Source organism: Homo sapiens, chromosome X (genome assembly GCF_000001405.40).
Source record: "Homo sapiens chromosome X, GRCh38.p14 Primary Assembly".
Lineage (NCBI taxonomy): Eukaryota > Metazoa > Chordata > Mammalia > Primates > Hominidae > Homo > Homo sapiens.
In genome coordinates this window covers 85,332,991-85,355,909 of record NC_000023.11, presented here as the reverse complement: position 1 = coordinate 85,355,909, position 22,919 = coordinate 85,332,991, and the positions used below count along the sequence as shown (strand labels likewise).

At 35.0% G+C, this 22,919-nt stretch overlaps 1 protein-coding gene across 3 annotated transcripts in view; it reads left to right on the top strand.

Moving 5' to 3' along the window:
* POF1B (POF1B actin binding protein) overlaps positions 1 to 22,919 on the top strand; it is a 102,270-nt gene that overhangs the window by 23,756 nt on the left and 55,595 nt on the right. For 2 of the 3 annotated variants that reach the window (NM_024921.4, NM_001307940.2), the window contains exons 5-6: positions 4,459 to 4,560; positions 9,868 to 10,050. In NM_024921.4, coding sequence (NP_079197.3) covers positions 4,459 to 4,560; positions 9,868 to 10,050 — 285 coding nt within the window. The remainder of the gene's footprint in view (positions 1 to 4,458; positions 4,561 to 9,867; positions 10,051 to 22,919) is intronic. The other variant, XM_005262203.5, reaches the window with a different exon arrangement.

Genomic DNA, 22,919 nt, shown 5'->3' with positions numbered 1-22,919 from the left:
GAGGAATCACCACACTGTCTTCCACAATGGTTGAACTAGTTTACAGTCCCACCAACAGTGTAAACGTGTTCCTATTTCTCCACATCCTCTCCAGCACCTGTTGTTTCCTGACTTTTTAATGATTGCCATTCTAACTGGCATGAGATGGTATCTCATTGTGGTTTTGATTTGTGTTTCTCTGATGGCCAGTGACGATGAGCATTTTTTCATGTGTTTTTTGGCTGCATAAATGTCTTCTTTTGAGAAGTGTCTGTTCATATCCTTTGCCCACTTTTCGATGGGGTTGTTTGTTTTTTTCTTGTAAATTTGTTTGAGTTCTTTGTAGATTCTGGATATTAGCCCTTTGTCAGATGAATAGATTGCAAAAATTTTCTCCCATTCTGTAGGTTGCCTTTTCACTCTGATGGTAGTTTCTTTTGCTGTGCAGAAGCTCTTGAGTTTAATTAGATGCCATTTGTCAATTTTGGCTTTTGTTACCATTGCTTTTGGTGTTTTAGACATGAAGTCCTTGCCCAAGCCTATGTCCTGAATGGTAATGCCTAGGTTTTCTTCTAGGGTTTTTATGGTTTTAGGTCTAACAAGTAAGTCTTTAATCCTTCTTGAATTAATTTTTGTATAAGGTGTAAGGAAGGGATCCAGTTTCAGCTTTCTACATATGGCTAGCCAGTTTTCCCAGCACCATTTATTAAGTAGGGAATCCTTTCCCCATTGCTTGTTTTTGTCAGGTTTGTCAAAGATCAGGTGATTGTAGATGTGTGGTATTATTTCTGAGGGCTCTGTTCTGTTCCATTGGTCTATCTCTCTGTTTTGGTACCAGTACCATGCTGTTTTGGTTACTGTAGCCTTGTAGTATAGTTTGAAGTCAGGTAGTGTGATGCCTCCAGCTTTGTTCTTTTGGCTTAGGATTCTCTTGGCAATGTGGGCTCTTTTTTGGTTCCATATGAACCTTAAAGTAGCTTTTTCCAATTCCGTGAAGAAAGTCATTGGTAGCTTGATGGGGATGGCATTGAATCTATAAACTACCTTGGGCAGTATGGCCATTTTCACGTTATTGATTGTTCCTATCCATGATCATGGACTGTTCTTCCATTTGTTTGTGTCCTCTTTTATTTCGTTGAGCAGTGGTTTGTAGTTCTCCTTGAAGAGGTCCTTCACGTCCCTTGTAAGTTGGATTCCTAGGTATTTTATTCTCTTTGAAGCAATTGTGAATGGGAGTTCACTCATGATTTGGCTCTCTGTTTGTCTGTTATTGCTGTATAAGAATGCTTGTGATTTTTGTACATTGATTTTGTATCCTGAGACTTTGCCGAAGTTGCTTATCAGCTTAAGGAGATTTTGGGCTGAGATGATGGGGTTTTCTAGATATACAATCATGTCATCTGCAAACAGGGAATGACCGTTCATCATTTATAGTGAACTTCATTTCACAGAAAAAAAATTTCATGCTTTTGCTAAATTTGTTTTCCCTCTCTTAGAGGATGATTACATTCCTAAGATGAAGGTTCATATCATTCCTTCTCACTCAATCATCAGTTCCTTCACTATGTGGTACTCAAGATCGTCAAAGTCCCTGCCCTCAGTAAGCCTACTTGTGTGTATTTTTATACTTGATATTCTACAAAAGTTATAAGGGAATTATCAATATTATTTAAAACACAGTATGGATTTTAAATATTATATTACAATATTATTTAAAACAAGTGTCATTTTTACATTAAAATTATAGATTAAGGGTACTTTAAAACACATGATCTTACCTGATATTCTGCATTACCCTCCCTATGCTAAGAAAACTGAGCCTCCAATAAGGTTAATGGCCTACCTGCTTTTCTGCAGCACATAGGAGAAGGAAGAACTGAAATATAGGTTTTATGACTGCATAATTTTTTTCCCATTATACTTTCTTCCACTGATTTTAGTAGTCAAACCCAATGGATTTGTAGTAATCCAAATCCAATCCACTTTATAATTCTCATCTGTTGGGCACTCTGAAACATTTTTACCTTTGACTTCCTACTGCTTCTTGAAAATTACTCTTCCTTTAAATTACAATATTTTCTCTTCTAAGACCTCTTGAGACATGTCTAGTTCTGTATTTGCTCTTCATTTGACTACTCAGCAATTGCTAGTTTAACCTAGCACTAGTGAGCAGGTGGTCTTGATATATGTAATAGATCTGTAGCCTTGCACTCACCACTTAGTTCCAGACCTGTGTTTTCACCTATGCATTGAACGTCTACATCTGAGTGTCTACCCAGACATTTTTTTGTAAAAGAGTCTCTTTGGGAGCTATTTGCAATCATTTGTGACATGTTAAAGGGATTACTATGCACTGTGTAGTTTGCTGAGTGTTCTGGGGAATAAAAACATAATCAGACCTAGATTGTTATTAGGAGCACGTAAAATGTCTCAACATTTTCATTTTTGGTACCGTGTAGTAGACTCCTCAGGTTCAAGATCTCAGAGTCATCTTTGAACAGTACTGTTTTTGATTATTGGGATAATCTTACCAGTCTCCTCATCTGTACTCTTCTTGTAATTAATCTCCCTGAAGTAAACTTCACCTCATACCCCTGTTTAAAAGCATGTAAGGACTTCTCACTGCTTGAAGAACCAAGCTCTATCTGCTAAGTATGTCCCATACATATAACTTACACTTTTCCAAACTTGGTGACTTTAATTGTCTTGTTTCCTTCACTTGGAATACCATTTTCTTCAATTTTCTCATATCCAAAGACCACTTTAACTTTCTTTCAAATGCCACCTAATCCAGGTACTCTACTAGAGCACAGCCAGATGGAACTCAGTTTTTTTCCTCTGAACTCCATCCCATAAGTTCTTTCTCTGTACGTGTAAAGGCATTTGTCTCTTTCTACTTTGCATATATGTTTATGTTCATATATTATCTAGATCAGGGATTGGCATAATTTTTCTGTAAAGAAACAGATAACAAATATTTTAGGTTTTGCTGGCCACATAGGTTCTTGGCCTTTGTTTTTTATTTATAGTCCTTTAAAATCTAACTACCATTTTTAGCTTGAGGACAGAATAAAAACAGGCTATCTACCATAGTTTGATGAATCTTGATCAATATTAAATGCTCCTGGTAATAAAATAAGTCAGACTTATATTTTTATGCCTCAAAGCATGTAGCAAAGTACACTGTGCATAGCAAGCACTTAAGCATGTGTTCCATGATTGCACATAACTACCATAGGGGCTCTTTTGCAAAAACAAACAAACAAACACAAAATATCTTCTAGGGAAGTCTTTCTAAATATATCCAGCTTTAGATTTAATACTTCATCACCTAGTCAGATTTGGTCACTTATATATTTGTTTTACCAAAGTCCCCAAGGAACATTTGGTTGAAACACCTTTTGCTCAAACTTGAATACAATAAGTATATAACTTTTGATTCAAGAGCATCTTGCCTTTTAAACAATCAGTGTTTTGGTCCAGCTGCTCTATGGGTATTTATAATAGCAGACTACAAAAATCCTAGTACATTTTGTTGATTGTGAAATGTTCTTAAATACATTAACCAGTAACAGACTTGCCTATATGGTCTTCTATAGTATTCCCCTATATCACAAAATAAATGAATGCAAATTTTGTTTTGTAGAAAAACAACAAACAAAACAACTCCAGATCTCCCTACCCAAGTAGACTTCAAATGAAAACCAAAGGAAGGGAAAAGAACATGGTACACATGACATTTATTTTAGACTCCTGGTCTGATTCTTATTAGCTCGTCCCCAGTTTCTTTCAGATTTTGGACATGTCACCAGCCTATATTTCATTGGCTGACATCTTCTAGGCACTCAGCTAATCTTACAGCAATTTAGTTGAATATGTGGAGATAAAGTGGCTCTTAAAGCCTCTACTCTGCTCTTAATATTCAAAACGTATGTTGTTCTGAGAGTCTTAGCCTTGATTATAATTACAATTAAGAATTGTACAATTCAAGGGCACTCAAATTGAGTTGCAGAAAAAAAAAATCTTTAATATAGTTCTACCTACTTTGTGGCCTAGTCGTGCTGAAATATTTTTATTTTGCATTTCTCCAACAATATTTTTGCATAGAAAGAAATCTTCCAGTGAACCCAGTTTAAATGAGATTGACCTCATGCTTGCCTACCTCAAAGGAAACTCATCATATCTTGCTTTAGGAACAGAGAGAAAATTATCTTTCCCACTCTCCACCAATCTCCACAAAAGACGTTATTAGGCTTAGTAAAATGTAATAGGAGAAATCCAGATTGTTCTTTTTGATAAAGGGAACTACCTTTATTATTATTTCCTTGCATCTACCAACATTATTGGGATGTCATTCCTCTCTCTTCCTAAGGTCAGCCAGTACTTCAGAGCCTATTCGACACTGGATATTTGCCTAATTTAAGGTTACTCTGAAAAGACAACTTTCAAAACAAAACATATAATTTACTATCATTTTAGGAACCACTGTCTCAATTCCTAAGAGGAAGCCATTTCTTCCCAGGAAACAATGTTATTTATGAAAAAACAATAAGAAAAGTGGAGAAGCTAAATACTGATCAGGTAAGTAATATTTTGTTTTAAAACTTGTTTTTAAGTGTATAATTTTGAATTGTATTTTAATAGAGCTCAAGTGACATTCAACTCTGAAGTGCAAGGCAAGACCACCATGAGTTATAATATGCTATGATATCTACAGCCCTTCATACCATCCTTAATACTTTCATACCCATTTTTCATGTGAAGTATTATTGTCCTCATTTTACTGAAAGAAAATTGAAACCAGGATATGTGAAGTCACATAGAAAATTAATGGCAGAATCTGAACTTAATAAAGATATCCTAATGCCTTGTATGTTTTCCTTTAAACTGGTCCAACAAAAATCATAATTTAAAACATTATAATTTTGTTCTAATTCTTTTAATATAGAACGAATTTTAAATGTACAATACATACGAACAGATATGTGAAATACCATATACTGTAAAAGATCTAGAAAACTAAAGCTTCTAGTACATTTAAAAAATTCTGTTAAGCTCAAATCGACAGACCAAGTATAAAACTGCAGCACCTGTTGTTTCCTGACTTTTTAATCATTGCCATTCTAACTGGTGTGAGATGGTACCTCATTGTGGTTTTGATTTGCATTTCTCTGATGGCCAGTGATGGTGAGCATTTTTTCATGTGTTTTTGGCTGCATAAATGTCTTCTTTTGAGAAGTGTCTGTTCAGGATGTGGAGAAATAGGAACACTTTTACACTGTTGGTGGGACTGTAAACTAGTTCAACCATTGTGGAAGTCAATGTGGTGATTCCTCAGGGATCTAGAACTAGAAATACCATTTGACCCAGCCATCCCATTACTGGGTATATACCCAAAGGACTATAAATCATGCTGCTATAAAGACACATGCACACGTATGTTTATTGCAGCACTATTCACAATAGCAAAGACTTGGAACCAACCCAAATGTCCAACAATGATAGACTGGATTAAGAAAATGTGGCACATATACACCGTGGAATACTATGCAGCCATAAAAATGATGAGTTCATGTCCTTTGTAGGGACATGGATGAAATTGGAAATCATCATTCTCAGTAAACTATCGCAAGAACAAAAAACCAAACACCGCATATTCTCACTCATAGGTGGGAATTGAGCAATGAGAACACATGGACACAAGAAGGGGAACATCACACTCTGGGGACTGTTGTGGGGTGGGGGGACGGGGGAGGGATAGCTTTAGGAGATATACTTAATGCTAAATGACGAGTTAGTGGGTGCAGCACACCAGCATGGCACATGTATACATATGTAACTAACTTGCACATTGTGCACATGTACCCTAAAACTTAAAGTATAATAATAATAAAAAAAACTGCAGCAAGGCCACAGTAATTCCATGGCATCTAGAGCCGCAAGTCCTTCATGCAGAGTTGTTACTATAACCAACAGAGGTTTCATATTGCTCTTCTCAGTTCATATAAGCATGTCCAGCCCAATGTCCAGGACTTGTCTGTTGGACATTCTTGAACTAGGGCACTGTATTAGTTTCTTAGGGCTGCTGCAACAAAGTGCCACAGACTGTATGGTTTAAAACAACAGAAATTTATTGTCTCACAGTTCTGGAGGCCAGAAGTCTGAAATTACTATGTTGGCAGGGCTATGTTCTCTCTGAAGCTGCCAGAGAAGGAACTCTTTCATTCCTGTCTCCTTGCTTTTGGTAGCCTCAGACATTCCTTGGCTTGTAGATGCATCACTCCAATAATTTATCTTCATATGGAAACTTTCCTGTGTGTCTTCACATCATCTTCCCTCTGTGCATGTTTGTTTCTGTGTCCAATTTTGCATTTTTATAAGGACACCAGTCATATTTTATTAGGGCCATCCTAATGACTTGATTATCTCTATAAAGACTCTGTCTCTAAATAGGGTCACATTCTGAGTTACTGGGGTTAGGACTTCACCATATCTTGGGTATGAGAGGGTACAATTCGACCCATAATAGGCAGTTAAACACTATCAAATCAGTTGCGATGACAAAATCATTTTTTTCATATGCAAATCAAACGGACTAAAAAATTCTAGCTTTTCCTTTTTGAACTTTTTGGCATAAGAACTCATTTTATTTTTTATGAGCACTTGTGGACATTTGTTACCAGATTCATAGGAACTAATGCATTATTACTTATTTGTGTCCAGTTAAAATGAAGCAAACTTTCAGAATCATAAACATGCAAATCTTTAACATTTTGGTTTGCTTGGAAAGCTGGGATATAGTCTGAAGGGTTTGCTATGGTATGTATTGAATACTCATCTTACAGAGGAGCAGCAGAATATTTCTGGACATTATGATACCAAGCAGAAAAAATTTCATGAAATGTACCTATTCCTCAAGGAGTGTTTTCCTTTATAAGAAATCAAATTATAACATCTGTCCTTTATCCAACTGGGCTACAAAAAATAAGTTTGACACGTTTTAAATAGTAAGGAATGTTAGAGGCAAATCATTTCATGCTGCTTCTAGCTTCTTGTTTTAAAGAGAACAAATAGTGTTTCTAATTCTTGGACTCTGGAGTAAAAGATTGAATATCTTGTACATTGTTGCTGTGCAGCTGGAACAACTAAAGACTAGCTCCTTTAAGAGAATACTGCTGCTATTTACTGTTAACTCGAATATTTACTTGTTTATGCCCACTTTATCTTATTAATTACTTAAACAGTTTCGGAGTTTGGGAACCACCACGAAAGCTGCCCAGTGTAAAAGGAACCATGCAGATAGAGCAAACTGCAATTGCATTGTCCTACTAGTTTCCTCATTGGTGGAGATAAACTAGGACAATCTGAGTAAAGCCAGAGTCTGGATGAACCTGTTTACCGTAACATGTGACCGAATCAAATAGGACTAGCTCTTAGGAGATGAGAAATGTTCAAGAAAAAAGAGATCTTTGTGTTGGAAGGGTGGTAAAGTGGTGCCAGGTGCAAGATAACTATCCAATTCATATGATTTGTACTCATCATAATTCTTTTTACTCTATCAAAAAGGAAAAACAATATGACAAATCAGAAATGTTTGATCTGTCTGTACTTTAAAAATTCAGCTTACTATATATTTTAAAAATATGATGAATATATGAACATTTTGCTTTAGAAAAAGAACTTTAGTGTAAGAATTGAAAACTGAAAACCTGCTAAGACCTCAGTGGTACCAGTAAATTGTTGACAGGCCAAATGGGCTCAGGTAGACTGCAAGGCACCCCAGATTATGGGAATGTCAGTGTTCTATTCAAGAGACAACTGATACATTAACAAAGGGAGATTTTTAAGAAACAGTTTTTGATTTCTTTATTGCCCTCTAGTGATGTGTGCTTTCCAAGAGTTTCCTAACTTGCTTTGTGAGGAACATACTGTTTTGTTTTGTTTTATTCCTTCAGGAGAGCTTCTATTTCAATAGCCTACAAGCTCTCCAATGAGTGATAGTCATCTCAGACTATCAGTGTAATTTTACCTCATTCCAGTATATGAAGATATTTTGTAACATAAAAGATAATAGTAATGTAACATACATTCACCCCCAAAATTCCTAAACTGTAAAGATTTTAGTGCTAGTGTATGTACAAAGTGTGCTATTTGAAAAGAGTCTAGAGAAAATGATAGCAGGAACTTATTCTATGACCTTTATTATCTCTATATCTACCAAGGCAACTTCTATTTGTAAAATGTGTTTATTTATATATATTTCATTTTTCAAAATATTTTTGTATACATGAAAAGGTAATTTTTATACATGGAAAAATTTTAAAGTATAAAAAACATTGAAAGGAATAAAAAGAGCATTAAAAGGTATACAGTGACAAATAAACCTCCTTATCCAGACACTTTTGTCCCCAGTTTCTCTTCCCAGAAGCAGCTACTCTTAAAACTATTTTGGTCTATGCATATCAAAGCAGTTATATATGTTTGTAAATGTATACGTCACTTTTAAAACATGTTACAGCAGAAAGAGTATACTATTTCATTCTTTTGTACTTTTTTCATTTAATACAGCTTGAAAATTGTTTCATATAAAAATGTAAAATATGAAGTGTTTTACTGTATTAATATAGGCCAACTTTCCATAGTCAAAAGGATATAGTGCATTGCATTTTTACTTTCAAAATTAATTGTATGTGCATACATGTAGCACTGTGATTCAAAATACAGTATGTTTCTTTTGAAAACAGGCTTCCAGATGTCTCTTATCGAAGTAGAATAATCACAAGATAAGAAAGCAAATTCAAGTATGCCTGAAATCCCCCAAACTAAAATAACTGGATATCTTTTCTTAGTCTGTGCTCTATACTTACCAGAAAAAAGCCATGACAAATAAGCAAATAACAAAGATTTAGTTTAAAAACAACAAATTCCAGAATATCTTGAAGTCAGTGCAAATTCAGCCTAATATCCTAAAAGAAGTCTAAGCTGGAAATCATGGGTTCCAGTCCCAAGTTTGTCATTAATTAGCTGCATTACTATGAGCAAATTATCTTACTTTTCTAGACCTCAGAGTTTTTTTCTTTCATCTGCAAAATTAGTAGGGTAAATGATGATAAAGTTGATGATGACTATGACAATGATGATGATGTGATCATAATAATAATGTTTGTTACTCACCTACTTTGTAGTAATCAACTTATAGACATTAGCTTATTTACTCCTCATAGCACCCCTATGGAATATGTACCATCTTCACTTTTATAAATGGGAAAAATGGAGGCTCATAAAGGTTGCATATACAGTTTCTCAAGATCAGAGTTAGTGATAAAATCAGAGTTAGAATCCATGTTTTCTAGGTCTAAAGTTTCAGTCGCTGGTTTTTTTAATCTTTTTAAGAAATTTATCCTTAAGTTTCATAAGGATAAGAACTTTGCTCCTCACCCACTGTGATTCTAATATGCTTCCTGACATTGAAAATCACTATATTATTTTTTAATTTTAAATTTACCTATATCTTCGGTATTATAGTGTTTTATGTAATTAGATTCTGAAGTGCCTACTGAATCATCAAAGTAATATTAATATTAATATTCATTATGGTTTTAGTGTTAAGTATAGCTGGAATATTAATTTAATTAGAACATGCAATGCCTTGGCCAATCTACATAAGTATTCGGATGGTCACGACAACCTGATCAAATAAAAACAGAATTCAATACAAATTTTCCCAATGAAAAAAATTGAAAAAATATCACTAGTTAAATCTATAAATCCTAGGGTTTGAATTATAGTGAAAGAAAACATTAAGTTTAAAAAAATGGTTTCAGTTGTTTTTCTTGATTAGTAATGTTTATCCTAAGTGGCTGTTTTTGGCATGTGTATGTGTCTTAGGGGTGCCATCCTCAGGCTCAATGCCATCATCACATTATCCAACAGCCCCAGGTCATCCACTCTGCACACTGGCAACAACCTGATTCTAGCCAGCAAATCCAAGCCATCACAGGAAATAATCCAATTTCTACACATATTGGAAATGAACTGTGCCATAGTGGATCAAGCCAGATTTGTGAGCAGGTAAGATCAATCAGCTGATTCCTTAACAAACTGAAATAATGTTCTTGAACTCTTCTCATACCACTATGCAGGTGCTCCCATTAAATTTTCATCAAAATACTGAGAAGTTATATCACTGGTATTTGTGCCTTGTCAGCATTTTTAGAACAAATCTTCCCATCTTCTCTCAGAAGACAAAACAATTTAGGTCGATTAAGACATTAAATCTATGAGGTTAGTTATGAACTGGTTAATGAATACCTAATTTGTAGCTGATCTTCAGTTCTAAAATGGGCCCAACAGTTGTGCAATGTTAAATATTTTCACGAGGTATGGTATTTAAATGAACAATAAATTGGAAGTTATATTATCTAAGATGATTTTAATGGTCACATTTCACAAACTGGTATTTACTTCCTGTATGTCTTCTTTGAGAATATATACATATTTTCTGTATGTCTTCTTTGAGAATATATTATTTGTCTTGAGAATCAAGTCAAAATATGTATAGATTTTATTATGTATCACATTGACAAAATAGAAACTAGAACTTAGTTGCTAAGGAGAAATCTCATGTAATACAATTCTTGGTAATTAATTTATGTTATGAAAATTTTGGAATCTTATAAACATCTGCTATACAAGTGTTGAAGGAAAAAAGATTTTCTTGTATGTTGGTAAAACTAATATTAATAACTGGAACAATGGGGAATCAACCATCACTTGTATTTTTCTAGATCTCCAATTGACCTCTTTCATAGGCACCTCTTACTAAAAGACAAAAGAAAACAAGAAAAAAATAAAGAAGGAGCCAGCCCACATAAGAATTTGATTATTTTATATTAAGTATACATGAGATTATTTCTAAGAACTGAAATTTTGAAATATACATTTTGGCCACATTAATCAAAAAGAACAACAAAAGATTTAAAATCCATGTTTTTTCAATCTAAGAAAAGCCTAGAGCCAGGTTCGGTGACTCACATCTGCATTTCCAGCACTTTGGTAGGCCAAGGCTGGAGGATCTCTTGAAGCCAGCAGTTCAAGACAAGCCTGAGCAACATAGTGAGACCCTTATCTCTACATTTTTTTAAATTTTCTAATTTTAAAGAAAAGCCTAAAATTGTCTTTCTTCTGTATATCTGCACAGAAACATTGGCCTCTAGAATAACTCATAGAATACAATCCAGAAGGTATTGAATATTTACCTTAAGTGTATTAGATATAACCATAAAAGAGCCATTTTATTAGATTAGATCATTTGAAATTGTCATTTTTGTAGGTTGAAACTGGTATAATAGCAACAATTTTATACAGTTCAACCTAATGCTTAACTTTGCTTTGCCTTAGTTTCTTCTAATAGGGGAAAGTGGCAGGCACATAAAAAAGCATAATACAAACCAAAGTGTTTTCAGTCATAAAAGAGGAAAAAACAACACACTTTGGGAACAAAAGACTGAAGAAATTAATTTTGGCTGAGAGATCAAGGAAGGCTATGTTGAGGAATTAATTAACCTGGGCTTTGAAAAATGGGCAGAATTTCTATATATGGTATTGTGATATTGCATGGAAATAATATCCTAGGAAGAGAGAATCACATAAACAAAGTTATAGATTTGGGAAAGTAAATTCTGGGTTTCAGAAAAAGTTAGGGGTTTGATTTGTATGGCATGAAAGACATGTGACAAGGAGTATTATGGTGTAGTGTTAATATGATACATTAAGGCCAGGTCATGAGATTCTCAAGTGTTAATTTAAAAACTTTGGGCTTTCTTTAGTAGGCAATGGAGGGTGAGTGAAGGTTGCTGAGTAGGAAAATACTAATAGATATGGCTAGCATATTGATTAATTTTCTTCTTACAATGATCAGATTAGGAAGGTGCTATTGTTGTCCTTATTGCTCATATAAGGTAACCGAGTTTCAAAGAGTTTAAATTATTTGCAAAGGCTTATACAGCCAGCATGCAGTAAAGCCAAGATTTATACATATGTAGGCTGACTCCAGAGCCCATTGATAGTTCCTCCTTGAATTTGGGTCACTTATGTGGAGAGTCCTTGAGCAATAGTATAAACATAAAGAAAGCACTTGGTTAAGAAGAGTCTGCCACAGGGAAGGTATTGGTGATAGAAAGCAGACTAGTTTCAGTGTATGGGGACCTGGGTTCTTGTCTTAACTCTGTTCCTCTCAAGCTATGTGTTCTTAGTAATACAAAATCTCTCAGCAACATCCTCATCCATAAAATACTAAATAAAAATATGTGCTGGAAATTTTTTATAAACTACAAAGTCTACAACTTGAAAAAATCAATGGAGAAAACTTTGCAAATGAAAGATTATTAGAAGCTATTTCAATAGTCTAGGTGTAAAACAAAGTAGAATAATGACAATAGAAATGGTAGAAGGGACAATGATCAGAGATGGGAACTGTATGACAGGATTAAGAGTTTTGTCCAGTGGCAACAGTAATGTTATAATATTCTTTCCCCAGCTTAGTACATCTAATAATACATTTGACTAGATTACATGTTGTCTACTCAGTAAAGGGGCAAAGTTGGGTAACTAATGTATCACTTTTTTATTATTCATACTGTAGTTTGAGATTTCTATGTAGCTTCTGTAAAGGCTGGAGGATTTTTTTCTTTAATTTTATTAAATTCCGCTTTTTTTCCATTTTAGATAATCTCTTTTTTTATTATACTTTAAGTTCTCGGATACATGTACAGAACGTGCAGGTTTGCTTATATAGGTATACACGTGCCATGATGGTTTGCTGCACCCATCAACCTGTCATCTACATTAGGTATTTCTCTCAATGCTATCCCTCCCCAGCCCCCCACCCCCAGCTTTTTCAATATTTTATAAGGATAAAGTTGAAGTGCTGCTGAAAATAGAATAGGCCCTTGGAAGCACCACTCTACAGGAAGCTTAGAGTTAGTAATTTCACTTGTATAGATTACTTTGGATTGGGTCCATTCCTGCTCAGAGTGATGACAGGGTAACCTGCTTGTGCAGATCCCATGGACAAAGGAGGGAGTTCTCCCACCTAGGCACCTTGGTGTTTACATGTCCCCTGTAGTGATATGTGGGTAGAAGAGTATCTTTAAAGAGTGATGCGCAGACATAGATTAGGCTCTTTTAAAACTAAAGTAGGACCCATTTTCATGGTTTGTGTTTAGAGTTAAACTGTAATTTGGAAGGAGCGTGGTAAAGAGGAATAGAACACAGGCATTCAATTTAATTATCTGAATTTATAAAACCTGATCCTGCTGAGCTGCATGACCTTCAGCAATAGACTTAGCTGGACGGAACCTCAGTTTCTACATCTCTAAAAGGGGAAGAATCATACTTTAATGTACAATATATCCTACAAGAGGATTAAATGAGATAAAATATGTAAAGCACCTATCTTAGTGTCAAGTACATAGCAGATGCTGAAATTAATGTTTGATTATTGATCTTCTTGCCCCAACTCTGGGTCGCAAATGTTTCAAATCACCAATATAAGAAATTAGTTTCATTGTAAGACTATTTTTAGATGAAACTAGATCACCTTTAAAGTACTTTCCCCAAAGTGAAAGGCATTAAAAATATTTTTCAAAATCAGATATCTAAAACTGTGACTTTAAAATATTTTTATAAAATTAATTTATGTGCATTTTCCATGGTCCTCCCTACTAATATCACCCTTTTGATTTCAAATTCAAAATATTACAAGTTACATATACTTCCCTGAAGAAATTAAGGATAACTTGCTGTGATCATTTTCCTGTCATTAGCAAGGAACAGATAATTTTACACCTGTTGATGACAGGGAACAGCTCAGCTGAAGTCATTTTACAAGTTGTCATATAGGTGGCATTTGTAAGAAATATTCAAATAAGTGTATATAGTGTGTGTGCAACTCTCTTCCACTTGGCTTAAGGATTCAGGGAAGTCTTTTGTAGTCATGGGAAGATGTAAAGGGAACAGTCCTGATCACCTGGATAGTGCTATTGCCAATGAAAAATACTCCAATTTGTGATGTGATGCCTTCAATGAATTGACAGAAAACATCAGATCTTAGTGTCAGGTGCTTTTTCTGGCAGGTCTCTGTGAAGCTCACTATAATGTTTATTTAACATGTCATTCACCAATGATAGAATTTCAGGGCTGGTTAGTTCAATGAACTCAGCAGTTCTGTCTATCCCCTCGCTCATTAACAGGTGGCTCAACTTCCTCTCCATGTTTATTGCCCTCTTCAATCCCATTATTGAAAATGAGTGCCTTTTATGTAAACTTGTATCCCCTGCTGTTGCTCCCACAAATTTAATTAGTGTCCATTTGGGGCCTATCTTTTCCCAACACTACCTTATCTGTCTTCTGCAACCTCTGCAACCTCTTACTATGAAACCTTTTAGAACTATTGTTTTATGGCAAACTCAACTTTATTTTTAACACATTGTTACTTATTTGCTTTTTTATAAATTAGTTTTTTTAGTTAAAGTAATATATGTATATAGTTTAAAAGGCCAAATAGTAGTAAAAGGCATATAACAAACAGCAATTCCCTGTCCCTACCCTCTTCACCACCCAGAGCTGATCCCCAGAGGCAATCATTTTCAATTGTTAGCTTCGTCTTGTGATATTTACTTGCATTTAGCTAAATAGCTATATATAAAGCTAAATGGCATGCATGTATTTTCAGTATGCATAAACTTATAGTATGGGTATACTTATGCTGCTATGTCTTGATTTATCAGTGTTACATATTATCTGTTGATAATTCTGACACACAGGTTTAATTCTATTCATCTCTCATCTAACTGTTTTCATCCCTTCCATCATCCCAATATAGTTAAATCTCCATTTATTTTTGGTAAATCAGTGTTCAGTGTTTATATTATTATTGCTATAAAATATCATTTACTGCTGAACCAAATTGTGTATTATTTTGCTTCTTTTATTCGCACAACTTTTTGCTGGTGTTAATAATTCTCTAATTTTTTTCATTTGCTTGGTTTTTGTGTATCTATTGTTAATTCTTTTCTCAATACACAAATGTTCTGGTTCCTATTGATCAATTATCCCTTATCAGCTTTCTACTCTCCTTGAAACTCTGTAATCCTTATACACCACCTGCCTTGGTTTGAATTATCACTCTCTACTGACATTTTGGTCACTCTCTCTGTCCTTCAACAGTTTCATCAGCCAACTTACAATCTTCTCTCCACTTCCTACTGAATCTAGAATCATCTATAAGAACTTCACCAACCACATCAGTACCCTTTCCCACACTGTCTTCATGGTTCTTCCTCACTCTCAATTTCTTCATTTCTACATCTTCAGTTCACATAGCTTTCAGCCAGTCCTTGAATTTATATCTTCACTTGAAACTGTTTAACCTGGGATTCTGAATGTCTCTTTCTCTTGCCATCACATTCTTGTTTTATCTCTTACTCTCTCATTTCTGTTTAATGTCACCTTCACCAAACTCTCCATCCCTCAATTCTAAGCCACACTGGTTTCCATTGTCAGCCAGTTCAGCAATGATCTTGCTAGAAGCCCTTCTCCTTTTACTGGCATCACTTTGCTGATCCTTTGCTTTGTGTAGACTGCCATCCACCTTCTGTGCCCCTAGATTTTGACTTCTTTGTATACTAGAGAGTCTTCAGACTAAACCAATTTAGTCTAGTACAGATTGTCTCGGTCTTTCTGGACTCCCACCATTGTTAAACAGCCTTTTTAATTGATTCTAATCAACTCATTACCAGTCTTCAATGTCTAATTCTTATCTATCCCACCCTGCTCATACTCCAAGTCTCACTGCTGATGTCTCCCTCTCTGCAGGTAGCCTTGCCTTCTACTAACAATGGATGGTGGAACTCAAACTTTAGTGGGCACCAGAATCAATTGGAAGAATTATTTAAGGAGAGATTGCTGGGGCCTGATAATCTGCATTTTCAAGTTCCCTGGTTATCCCAATGCTACTTTACTGGCCCAGGGACCACGATTTTGGTTCACCACATAAATTCCTTCAATGCTCCACTTTACTGAAAATTTTTTCTATACCTTCAGCAAACTTCTGATTCTTTTGATCTTCAAGAATTAAGACTCTAACTTTGTGATCAGGGTGACTCCCTTTGTGACCCTACCATTCTATTGACTTATAATCTCATCTCTTTTGTTCCCTTCATCTGAAAAATTTCCAAAGGAGGGAGACATACTCTCAGATGCTATATTCTCACTACTCACACATTCCTCAACACTGCAAACCAGATTCTAGCTTCACTATGTTCCTGAAACTGCTTTTATTGACCTCCAAGTTGTTGAATCCCACTTACTTTTCTTGACCCTCATTTTGTTTCAGTTCTACTGCATTTAGCACTGCTAATCTATTCTATTCTTGATATCTTTCTTTCCATTATACTATACTGCAGCTTCTATGACTTCTTCTCAGGCACTTCTTCCTTCTTTCATCTGGACCTCTTCTCCAAGGACCCATTCTTGGCCCCTGATATAGTTTGGCTGTGTACCCACCAAAATCTCATCTTGAATGATCATGTGTTGTGGGAGGGACCCAGTGGGAGGTAACTGTATCATGGGGACAGGTCTTTCCCATGCTATTCTTGTGATAGTGAGTAAGTCTCATGAGATCTGGTGGTTTTATAAGAGGGAGTTTCCCCGCACAAGCTCTCTCTTTTTGCCTGCTGCCATCCATGTAAGACATGGCTTGGTCTTCCCTATCTCCCACCATGATTGTGAGGCCTCCCAAGCCATGTGGAACTGTAAGTCCATTAAACCTCTTCCTTTTATAAATTGTCCATTCTCAAGTATGTCTTTATCAGCAGCATGAGAACAGCCCCCCTTCTTTTTCTCTACCCTCTATCCCTTGACAACATGATATAAAATCTTGACTTTTGCTACTACTTTTGTATGGACAATACCCAAAACTTTCTCAGCTCCAATGCATCATTTTTAATTGCCTACTTGACATCTCTACTTGACTGTCCCACAGTCATCTCAAACGAATCATATCCGCTTTTCACTTTCTCTCATCTATCAATGATATATCCAGTGCTTTATTTACTAGTCTTAATATTTAACATCATTTTTTTAACTGCTCTGTCTGCTTTGCCACTCCACACCTAATTAGTTGTCATAGTTTGATGATTCTTTCTTCATACAACCTCTCTCATACAGCTGAAAGTTAAGTTTTCTTCTTGGAACTCTTAGCATTTGATCTGTAGCTCTCGTTAGGCCCTTGTTGCAGAATTCCCATTGTTTATGAGAAAAAGGTTTGCAAATTCTTGATACTCACTTTGTAGTACAAGAAAAGATCATACATTTTATTTTCCCATGAGAAAGAATAATTTACGCTGTTACAAATGTTATTATTCAGTTACTTATACTCATTATAAAATTACAACTCAAACCACCTACATTGTTTTTAATTGGTTTGGAAAAGAAGAATGTCAAACTGGAAACACACACTCACACACCAAAAGGAAGTGAGAATAGCTTTGAATAAGTTTCACTAAATCCATTTCAGTGTGATTTGTTAAAGCACCTCTTACAACCAGTGCTTTTCCCTCTGTTCTGCTTAATATGTAGCTGCAATTTTATCCTTTGTTATAATCAACTTTCTCACTACTTACTTACCTTGAAAGATTAGGCTATTAAAAGGGATGTCCTTAATATTTCTTTTGATGAACAAGATGAGTTGATGCAGAATCAGCATTATTATTATTTTTATGGTGATAAAAATATTTTTATCCAACAAATGTTTACTTAGGACTTATTATATTCAGGCACCATGCTGGGCACTAGAACTTAAAAAACAACAGTATCTGTACTCCCAGGCAGCTGAGAGTCTTATAGAAAATGAGGCAATTGTCTTTCATTTATTCTGTCATTTCAGTAGCAAACTGTACATATGCCTTAAATTAAAGAAAATTATTTGCACAATTGTTTAACAATTTACTGAGCACTTCCCCCCCATTTAATTTTATTTGATGCCTTCTGCAATTTTATAAAATAAGTACTAAATTGCCTACATAATACAGTTGAGAAATACAGGCACAGAGAAGTTAAGCAATTTACTTAACTCACAAATGGGAAATGGAAGCTCCACATTTGTTCTCAAATTCAATTCTTTTTTCATTGCAACACTTTGCTATCTATGTTTTTTCACACAGAAAGTTAAATTAGTTCTTTATTTCAAGTACAGAACTGTTATAAAGAAGTCTTCATTTTAGAATTGTGACTATTGTACAGTACATTCAATTCAGTGACAACATGTGTTGAAAATCTAATATGAACCAGGAGGTGGGGCGAGATGGACAAAGAGAAGCTTCCACCAAAGAGAAGCTTCCACCGATTGTCCTCCCTGCAGGAACACCAAAATTAACAACTAGCTACATACAAAAAAAAGCTTCTTCATAAGAACCAAAAATTAGGTGAGTGATCACAGTACCTGAATGTAACTTCGTATCACTGAAAGAGGCACTGATGAGGATAGGAAAAACAGTCTTGAATTGCTGATGCCACCCATCCCTCATAACCTGACAGAGGCTGTGTGGCAGGGAGAGAGAATCTGTGTGCTTGAGGGAGGGAGAGCAAGGTGAGTGTGGGACTTTGCATTGGAAATCAGTGCTGTCAAAATTGGGCAGAACTCAACTGACTTCAAATTATACTGCAGAGCTACAGTAACCTGGTAAAATAGCCTGGTAATGGCATAAAACAAACACATAGATGAATGGAATAGAATAGAGAACCCAGAAACAAATTCATGTATCTATAGTGAACTCATTTTCAACCAAGGTGCTATGAACACGCATTGGGAAAAGGACAGTCTCTTCCACAAACTGTGCTGGGAAAACTGGGTATCCATACGCAAAGGATGAAATTAAACCTCTATCTCTCACCATATACAAGAATAAAATCAAAATGGACTAAAGACATAAATCTAATGCCTCAAACTATGAAACTACTACAAGAAAACATTGAGGAAGCTATTCAGGACATTGGACTGGGCAAAGATTTCTTGAGTAATAACCCAGAAGCACAAACAACCGAAGCAAAAATGAACAAATGGGATTACATCAAGTTAAAATCTTCTGTACAGCTTTTAACTTGTGAAGAGACAACCCACAGAGTGAAAGAAAATATTTGCATACTGCCCATCTGACAAGGAGGTAATAACCAGAATATATGAGGAGCTCAAACAATAGGAAAAAAATCTAATAATTTAATTTTTTAAAATGGGCCAAATATCTGAGTAGAGATTTCTCAATAGAAGGTGTACAAATGGCAAACGGGAGGTGTAAAAATGTGCTCAACATCATTGATCATCAGAGAAATGCAAATCAAAACTACAGTGAGAGATTATCTCACCCTACTTAAAATGGATTTTATCTAAAAGACAGGCAATAACACATGCTGGTGAGTATATGGAGAAAAGGGAACCATAGTACACTGTTGGTGGGAATGTAAATTAGTGCAACTACTATGGAGAACAGTTTGGAGGTTCCTCAAAAAACTAAAAATAGAGCTACCATATGATCCAGCAATTCCACTGCTGGGTATATACATAAAAGAAAGGAAATAACCAACATTTGGAAGGAATCTAAAAATTTTCTTTATCCAACAGTCTAATGGATAAAGAAAATTTGGTACATATACACAATGAAGTACTATTCAGCCATAAAAAGAATGATATCCTGTCAGTTACAATAACATGGGTGGAAAAGGAGGACATTATAGTAAGTGAAATAAGCCAGGCACAGAAAAACAAATATTACATGTTTTCACTTATTTGTGGAAACTAAAATACAAAACATTAGAACTCATGGAGATAGAGAGTAGAGTATGGTTACCAGAGGTTGAGAAGGTTAGTGGGGCGGGGGTGAGAGAGTATTAGGGATTGTTAATGGGCACAAAAAAGAATTAGAAAGAATAAGATCTAGTATTTGATAGAAAAACAGTGTAACTATAATCAACAATAATTTAATTGTACATTTAAAAATAACTAAAAGAGCATTATGAATTGTTTGTAACACAGAGAAAGCATAAATACTTAAGGTGATTGATACCCCATTTACCCTGATGTGATTATTACATATTGCATGCCTGTATGAAAATATCTCAAACATCCCATAAATATGTACATCTACTATATACAGACAAAATTTAAAAATTAAAGAAAAAGAAAAAAATATAAAAGATAATCTAATATGCACTAGGTAGCATCATTTCTTTATTAAAATATCTACATAGATTAAAATAATAGTGAGGATTTTCAGAACCTAAAATTCTTTTACTTTTTCTCTTGTTAGAATTGCTACTCCTGGTATAAAATAAGGAGACCAATTATTTATTTTTACCTCATTAGCCAAATGACATTGTATCTGAAATGCATTTAATTTTGTCAGGGATTAATGCCCACTGGATTAACTATGTTTGAATCAGTCTAACAGATATTAAATGTTCCAAATCAAAGCAAAATCAAGTAGTAATCTTATACATCCAAAACTGTCACCACATCCTTATAATCTTTGCTGGACATATATGTATAATCTATACGTTATAACCTTTTACTAATAGTGAGGTTTTCCATTGCCATGCAGCAGTTCAAAACTTACTACCCAGTTGGATCTTAATACAGCAGATCTTATTACTTAATATTTTCATGACCTTTTAGGAGTTTAGTTACTTAGATATAATTGCTTTTACATAACATGGCATTTTAAGCGCTTTATAATCTCTAAACGACCCTTCTAAATAGGTGAAACATGCACACATTTAAGCCAGTTACCTAGTAGGAATAAATTTAATTAAGCCAAGACTGTTCTACTGGATTGTCATTTGTTCCTTGACTACAAACTATCCCTACCCCTGAGAAGCATTCTCACAAATGTTTGTTCTTAAGCTGAAGGGAAACCAGGCAAGAGAATATAGATAGCTCAGCTGAAATCAGCAACTATTGATTGTGCCTTATAATCACTACCACTGAACGATGTAAATATGGTTGGTTAAGTGTGTTGTCTTTGAATATGAAAGTTTATAAAGTGTGGAGGCTAGCAAGAAAAGTCCACCTACTACTCATAGATCACAAATATGAAACAACACCCCAAATTGGAGCCAGGTCAAGAACTTCCAAGGCAGTAGTGAGGTGAGGTCTGTAATTTCTCTTTAGAAATGACTTCCTTTTGAAATTACTTCCTTTCTACAGATTTTCCCAGAAAATGGACACTAATTTGCCTCTGGTTGCACACTTAAGCATTGTTGCTTTGCCTTGAGTTTACTGGAGCTATTATCATCATGGGCTTCTCATCTATAATTAGAGACAAGGAATTAGACTGTTTGGCAATTATTATAGTCAAATAGTGATCCGATTAAACGTACTTCATTGATGCATGCTCATGAATCTAACAATTTTTGTAGTTTTTTAGAAAATTATCATGTTTTGTGTATCCGTATATGTTTATATTCTTCAGCACAGCCTGTATTCCTTCCTTGATTATAGATAAACAACTAAATTAATTATCAAAGATTAACATTTGAGATAGCTCTCATTCATCAGGCAGATGAGTATATATGAGGTGCAGCTATATTTCAAGTCAGTATTGTAACAGGGAGAAAACTTCTATCCATTACTGCTACCATTATTCTGGCCCAAGGCACTCATGTATCCTTGGGACGACTTCTATCTTGGCTTTCTCAAGGCAACAAAAAAGATAGCTTTGAGCCAACTCTAAAAGCTATGTCGAAACACACCCACAAATAGTTCCATTAAAATTAAGAAGCTCCAAAGAGCTGTGATTTAGTAATGGAAAATATTGCTAACTAGCACAACACAGTTTATGGTTAGGAAATTTCACCTTGGTCTTGAGTAATAGTCCTGACTTAACAATAGATGAGAATTTTAATTCCCTCAGCCCTCCCCCCTCCCAAATTTGAACCCAAATGGATTATGGATTCCAAAAGGGCTAGTTTGGTCCTTATCTTATGATTTTCTTAAACACATTGACTGTTTAAATGAGACATAATTGTGAATAACGACTTACCTGCTTTTGACTTTCATTTCCTGAGAGGAGTCAATCACTGAGAATCTGATGGACATTATTCAGAAGTCTATGTAGAATTCAAATACCAGCCTCCAACTCTATAAGGAGTTCAGTTTAGTTGCTCCAATTAGACTGTGTGATGACACTGACTCTTCCTAGTAAGGAAGGTACAAGGGATCACCATGATATTCCTAAGGAAGGGCTGCCTGTACTTTTGCTGACTTTGTTAACCATTTGTTGTTGTTGTTGTTGGAGGCTTTAAGAGAGAAACCTGTAAAAAAATTCTTTCCAGAATTACTAGCACTTGGGGGCATTTCTAATCAGGTAGATGATTTCTTTCAATGCAACAAGTTTTAGTGAGCAGCTGTAGAGTATTTAATCAGTATTGTATTAGATACTATCAAATATACCAAAAAGTATGACTCATTCTTGTTTATTTCTTTTGTGGTAAAAAGAGGGTGCTGAGAAAACAAGACTTACATCTGTATAATAAAATAAAACAATTAAAAATAATTGAGCACAAAGAGCTGAATTGAATTAGCTTGTTGGCTGGCATAGTTTTAGTTTTCACGGATATGGTAGATTTTGAGATGAGTTTCAAAGGATGGGTAAGATTTGGATACACAACAAGAAGGACAGAGGGTATTTAAGCAGAAAACAATGTGAGTAAAATCCTAGAGGCAGGAATGTATGGTGTGTGCCCCAAAGAGTGAAATCTACTGTGGCTGAAGGAGAGAACGTACTGGGAAAAAAATAAAATTATGTATATCTAAGTATTTAAAGGTTTTATATAGAATATGTAGATATAGACATATGAATATATATCTATTTTCATATGTTATCTAC